Raw genomic sequence first — 7,384 nt, 5'->3', positions numbered from 1 at the left:
AAAAAAATCTTCATGAAATTGGAGTAGGTGATTATTTAATATCAAAAACCTACATTAAAATTAACTTCTATTTATTAAAAAAGTGAGAAGACAAAAAACAGGATTAGTGTCATATAGTTTATATATAATTATATATTACATATTATATAATTATGCTATATATAATACATTATATAAGATAATATAACTATAATATAATTAAAATAGAATCAATTTATATCATAAAATATTAGTCATATGTATTATTAGTATCATATATAACATGTCACATATAGTATATTTCTGTGAATCAAAATTAAATAGACAAATAACCCAACAAGCCAGAGAAAAAGGTGTGAAAAAGTTATGAACAGTTATGAACAGCAAAACTCATAAAGAAAAGAATGAATAATATAAAATTTATTGGTATGTCTGGTAGGAAGATAGGACTTCCAAGCAAGGATGACAAATGGGAAGTTTCAGAGATATTCATAAGGTTCCAGTTACATAAGTTGAGTGGTGAGAACACTGATATTCATTTTATTATTATTTTATAAACTCTTCATGCATGTTGCATATATTCTTCTTTATGAATAGGTAATAACAAAATTTGGTTAACATAAAAAAGAAATATATAAATTGTAATCTATACAATGTTTTGAGATCTATGTACAATGTTCTTTTTTTTTTTTTTTTTTTTGAGATAAAGCCTTTCTCTGTCCCCCTGGCTGGAGTGCAGTAGCACAGTCATGGCTCACTGCAGCCTTGACCCTCCAGGGCTCAAGCGGTCTTCCCAGTTTAGCCTCCTGAGTAGTTGGGACCACCACACCCAGCTCATTTTAAAGTGTTTTAGTAGAGATGAGGTTTCACTATGTAGCCCAGGCTGGTTTTGAACTCCTGCGATCAAGTGATCCTCCTGCCTCAGCTTCCCAAAGTGCTGGGATTACAAGCATGAGCCACCATGTCTGGCCTTTAACAATGTTCTTGTTAAACATTAAGGTGCATTAAAAGAAATAATCAGGCCGGGCGCGGTGGCTCACGCTTGTAATCCCAGCACTTTGGGAGGCCGAGGCGGGCGGATCACGAGGTCAGGAGATCGAGACCATCCTGGCTAACACGGTGAAACCCTGTCTCTACTAAAAATACAAAAAAAAAATTAGCCGGGCGTGGTGGTGGGCGCCTGTAGTCCCAGCTACTCGGGAGGCTGAGGCAGGAGAATGGCGTGAACCCGGGAGGCGGAGCTTGCAGTGAGCCGAGATTGCGCCACTGCACTCCCGCCTGGGCGACAGAGCGAGACTTCGTATCAAAAAAAAAAAAAAGAAAAAAAGAAATAATCAATGAAACAGGAACAGACAAAGAAAATGAAGATATTAAGCTTAGTTGAGGCCTAGTTGACATAGAAAAATGCCTTAATTAAGTGATAATCAAGATTCTCTTTTATGTTGATAGGGCAGTATATTTAATATCAGTACATAATGAATCAAAGATCTCATGTAAATATTTCTGATTACTCATGATTTTGTCTGATAAGTAGATAATTAGGTTACTTCATCAAGATACCTGCAAAAGGTCTGGTGATAAATATTTGAAAGGTGAATTAAACATATAAAATATCAATGTTAAGATAATAAATAGTTTTAGGCAACAATGTAAGAGAGATCACAAAAATAGGTAAAAAAAAAATAATAATTTCAGACCAAGCAGAACTGACCAAGTGACAAACTTGCTCTGTCAAATGTATGTAAACGTCAGCTCTTTATGAGTCTTTTTAATCATAAAGCTACTGATTACATTGATCTTTTTTAAACTACAAGGGCATTAACAAGCATTTTTACCAAAATGAATGGAAAGGTATGTGTGAAGGCACAATTAGAATTATGATGGGATATTTAGTTGAAGCTTGACAAAAGTTGCCATCAACACTTGATATAAAGGAAAAGCTTCCATCAGATGTGATAATGACTGGAAATTGTCTCATAGATTTTTATGTCTCAGTCTTCTATGTCTTTAAATGACTATGAGGATTCTATTTGTTTGCAAAAATATATTTAACATGGCAGAAATTTTTCTGAAATTAAGAGGAACAGTGAAAATTGTTGGTGAAATTGTTGGCAAAAATATAAATATGTTAGATTTCTTTATCTCACATAATCATTACTCTTAGAGGCATTTTTGTGTGTGTGTGTGCTTTTAATTTTCAAATGTTCTCCACTTTCGGTTTGTCATAAGTCTTCAACAATGTCAAAGGAATAAAGTATGACACAAAAGACGGTTGCACCCACAGCTTATGAATTTCCATGTATTATTCTGCTTCAGACAATGAACCAAATTCATGGCTGGGTTCTTTATTGAAATTTTTTTTCCTTTTCTCATAATAAGAATTTAATTTTATGCCACACTGCATTTGACATTAATTGGGTCTCAATATTTTAGGCTATAGTAACATTTTCAATAATCTATATTATTTGGAAAGTTTTATCATCCAATTATTATATTTTCCTATCATCTAATTTTTACATTTGTTATCATTCAATTATTGTGTTTGTTAAATATACAATGGATATTTTCAGAACACAACAACAACAACAACCACAACAATCTCTGCTATGCCAGCTATTATGTCAAGCATTTAACTTTCAATTCTCACATCAGACCTATGAGATAGGCACAATTTTATACTCTTTTTACTGATGGAAAAAAATGGGGTGACAGAGGTTAAATAATGCAAGACCACACATTTAGTAAGTTGTCTGAAACATGTTATAGAACATCGAAATCACATCCTTCTGTAAGCATTACACTGTAGTCCCTCCTTCCAGAATATTTTCTAAATATTCTTCTTAAATTTCTTTTCTTGTACATTTGTTATCCATTTAACAAGTGTTCTTTTTATCAAACCAATTTCCACCATCCTATGACAATAATACTCCTGTTATTCTTAACCAGTGTTTAAGGATTATGGAGCAATAATTAGAGGTTAGGGGCCATTGATCTTATTAAATTTATACTTAAAATTTATTCAGAAATTGCTCTTTTTATTTTTCTAACATACATGGATGAGTTATATTGTAAGAATGTGTTGCTGAATACATATTTGTTTATTTTCCCAAAATTTTAATATGAATCTCTGCTATGCTTTTATCTATTAAGGTGTATTTATATAACTATAGACACATCTACATCTACTTATTCATACTTGAGATTATTTAACTACAGCAATACTACAAAAACAGGTTTTACCCAAAAAGAAATAGTGCAATGGAACATTTGACTCTGGAGAATTATTAAGTCAAAAAGTTACTAGGTTTTTTCCTTTAAGTTCCACGATTAAATGTAAACTAAAGTAGATAGACATAAATACATCAAAAGTTGTATATTTCTGGTTGCTTGAGCTAATGATATATTTTTGGACACATCCCATTCTAAAATTAGTCTGCGGAAATGCAGCACTATAATCTACTTTCTGAATCCTATAAGGTGCCGTCTTAAAATTAGGGTCACAAGAAGGTGAAGACAGGCAGTAATACACTTGTTGACCCTTCACAGGAATTCCAGATAAAACCCCAGAAGTTGAGTCAGAGATAATCACAAGATCTGGAATTTACAATAACAAACTCTCCATATATCTACCTGTCAGATCTCTTCCTCTTAGGGTGGGACAAAAGGTCACTAAAATAGCTTTTTTTTTTTTTTTTGTGAAAACGTTTTTGCCCTTCTTTGGGAGTGGGGAGAGTAATGAGAAGTTATAGTACAAATTAAATAGGATGTTAAAATTCTCTTTTCATTAAAACTAAATTTATTCTTAAGGACCCTAACATTTATTAAATATTAAGAATTTTTTTCAAGCTGTATATAATAGAAGTTGAGGAAGAGTCATAAAAAGAACAACAAAGAAGGAAAACAAACTATTGATCACTCATACAAATATCAAATGTTAGAAATTTCAAAAAATCGAACACATGGAAAAATTCTAACTTAAATGAAATTTAAAACCCACACAATTTTATAAGTTTTTATGCAGCCATATTCTAAGGTGAGATAATGTGCTGTTAAAAAGGTATCACACTCAATCCTTTTTTTGTAGTAAATAAAAGAAATAATGAGACTACTATCTATTACTATTATATTTTTCCTAGCAATAATGCTGACAATCATATTCTGCTTTCTGAGGATTTTATAGGCAATAGGATGCAATGTGGAGTTATATTTTTCTAGTTTTTTGGTTAAGTTCTATAATATTAACATCATGATTTTACTTGCCTTTGCAAATTTGGTATCAGCTATAGCCTAATATCAAAGAAGTAAGTCCCTATCTAATTTCTCATTTCTCCCCCTCTCGGGTTATGGTTTAAAAGGCAAATATTATAGACTTTTCAAGTTATTTTCATGAAATATAGCATAGTATTGTGTCTTAAAGGAATATACACAGTATGCTTGAACTCATACCTTGGTGATATTTAGTATTTCATAGCATTTCTAAACAATAAACATTTTTCCTCTAGCCAATAATTTATTGCATGTCTCAAAGCTTCTAAATGATAATTGAGTTGTTTAGTAGAAAAGGAATTTCAGTTTTTTCAGATGATGGGTATATGAGCTAAAATCATGTAGGAGTGTTCTTGAACAAAAGTTTTATATATCTTTTTGTGGTTAAAGCAATGGCTAAAATTACCATAATAAACTAGCTTTCTCATAAAGAACAAGCACCATAAAAAAATAAAAAGACTCAACTTTTCTTTCAAAACTGGAAATACAGTAATATCTTATTTTCATATCTTATTATGTAACTAGGACTACTAGGACTACAGAAAAAATTGTTGTTAGAGGCAATGAATATTTTCCAAAATCCAAACAACGCATGCATATTGTCACTCACCTAAAGGACCTTATCTATCTGGTATTGATTCTGCATGAGCTTGCAACTTTCCATTAACAACAGATGCAGAGACACTAGAATAGGGACTAACATTTATTAAGATGCTATTCTCAAGGCTATTTTTCATTTTAGAGATGAAGCAGAGGGTGTGAGCCATATTTGTTTTGCTCACTTTTTATCCTTGTCACCAAGAGCAGTACTTGGCACTCATTAGTGCTCGGTACATACTTGGTGATTAAAAAAAAATTCTGAGGCATGGATGACAAAGTTGGATTTAAACTGGAGTTACGTGATTCCAGGATAGAGACTATAAAGATATAGGAATTTCTATATCTTTAAACAGTCATATCAAAGAGACTGATGTTCATATCACATGATTATAGACATAGAAAAAACTGATCAAATAGAAATTAAAAAAACATTGTTTCTGCGTTTTTATAAAGTAAGCATTTTATCAGTAAATATTTAAAATGTTACAGAAAAAATATTTTTAAAGAGGCAAACTTTAAAAATCTTTCTAAATAAGGTTTGTGCAAAACAATTAGAAATGCCACTTGCAATCTAAGTTTATCTGCCAATTTGAGACTTAATGATTTTTGCTTATCTTAGGATTTTTTTTTCTGCCAGTTATCCCTTGTTTCTCTTAAAAATCTGGAAACTGGATTGGTATCAGTACTACAGTATGTGCCAATCAATGATCAAGTTTACAAAGTGTTGCTTCCTGGCTATAGCATGTACATTCTTTTTGGTTGGTTGATGATTCATTAGGTTATATGAGTAAAAATAGCCAATAAGATGACATCTTCATGTATTTTCCCAGATTTTACTTATAAATTAAGTACATCATTTCTCCAAAGCTAAATGAAATTTCTTATCTAATTCCTATGACTCTTTTAGGAAGTTTGAATTAACAATAAATGAAACAATATTCTTTTCCTTTATCTCAAGGACTTCATTTGAAATAAAATTTCTTAATTTCTTTTTGCACCATTTTTATGGCCTCCTCAGTTTGTGTGGCATCCTTAAATTCCTTGTTGCACCTGACAAAAGGGATGATCCACCCTTTTCTTCTTTCTTTTTTAAATTAATTTTTATGTGGTTTTCAGATGAGAAAGGATGCAGTATTACCTTGACTGCCTGCCATAATATAAAATGCAGTAAAATGTACAGCTGGTGACAGTCTATTTAGAATTTTTAAATGAAATATAAAGAAAAAGACCAGGTGCTTAATTTTTACATGCTGCATTTCATTTTAAAAATTCATGGTACCTTTTTGAATAATTTTTACTCATGCAGATGTTCTGAATATTGGAGACAGACGTTTATTTCCTTGGTTCCCATTTCACATTAAGCTTTTGCACAAAGAAGGTGGGTTGAATGGCTATATTATTTGTGAGTCAGGATTCCAAGGATAATTATTCTGAGATAATTGTCAAATGACTCATGGCAAGACCTTTCAATGATGTGTTCCTTGTTTTTTTTAGTTCAGATCTGGAGGATAATGGTTGTTTAACATATTGGAAAGGAACTTTAGGCTATTTGAGAAGAAATATATGTCAGGAGGAATGTGTTGACTCAAAATAATAGATAAACTCATTTGTATTATTTGTTAGAGGATGAATCATTGCTTTAAGAACTGTGTGTCACATATTTCAGAATTGTGAAATTCCCAAATATCAAAGTTGCTTTTTCTTTTTTGCCTGACAAACATTATGAGAAATTCAGTCTGAATTACTTAGAATTAAGTGCTTAGAAGTTATAATGATTCTTTAAGCTTTGTCCCCCAAATTACAAATATATCAAAAATCTCAACCAATGTCCTACCCGTTAGATAAAATGTGGAACATAGCTGGATAGCTTACAGGGACATATGACTGATATTCATGGGTAATCCATGTATTTAAGTGATGATTTACCAGTTTGGTTAATGAATGAATAGGCAAAGGACATCAGGATATGTCTTGTGAGTGATTATCATTATCAGTAATGATGAAGATGAATTCATTGTGAATTAGGTTACTTCCTGTATTTAATAATATTCATTTTTCAAAGTTATATCATTCTGGAAAGGAAAAATTACTAATGGAGTTCCATTTGACAAATTATCTTCTAGTAATAAATTGTAATGCACAGTATCATTTTAAAAAGAAGTATTTGCTCACTGCTATTTATTCTCCCCATGTTGACCCTACTAACAGGAAGAATACATATGCCTGGGAAAGACAGATCCCGTTGGGCTTTGTCTACCTCTGTTTCTCATTAATCGATTCAAGTTGATGTTTAAAAAAATTTTCAAAAAGAATGTCCATTGTCTTAAATGACTGCATATTCTTGCTATTCATAAATTTCATTCTGTTTTCCTGAATTACCCCAAAAAAAGGCAGTTTTCCTGTTGAGGTTAATTTGGGATATGTAAAATAACCTCATCCTCTAAAAAACAAGGCTGAAATATTTTATCCTGACTATCAGTGACAGTCATTTGTTTTTCACTATATTTAGATTTTCTCAGTATTCTTCATAAGTCATAAG

At 31.4% G+C, this 7,384-nt stretch overlaps 1 annotated feature.

Moving 5' to 3' along the window:
* Positions 6,598–6,767: an enhancer, noted in NCBI's record as "experimental_39355 CRE fragment used in MPRA reporter constructs". NCBI's record gives its function as "activates a minimal promoter by MPRAs in K562 erythroleukemia cells, with activity observed for the non-introgressed 15:36662818 variant allele {active_cell/tissue: K562}" and the evidence as "EXISTENCE:reporter gene assay evidence [ECO:0000049][PMID:34662402]".

This window comes from Homo sapiens, chromosome 15 (assembly GCF_000001405.40).
Source record: "Homo sapiens chromosome 15, GRCh38.p14 Primary Assembly".
Classification (NCBI taxonomy): domain Eukaryota; kingdom Metazoa; phylum Chordata; class Mammalia; order Primates; family Hominidae; genus Homo; species Homo sapiens.
This window is presented reverse-complemented; position numbering and strand designations above follow the sequence as displayed.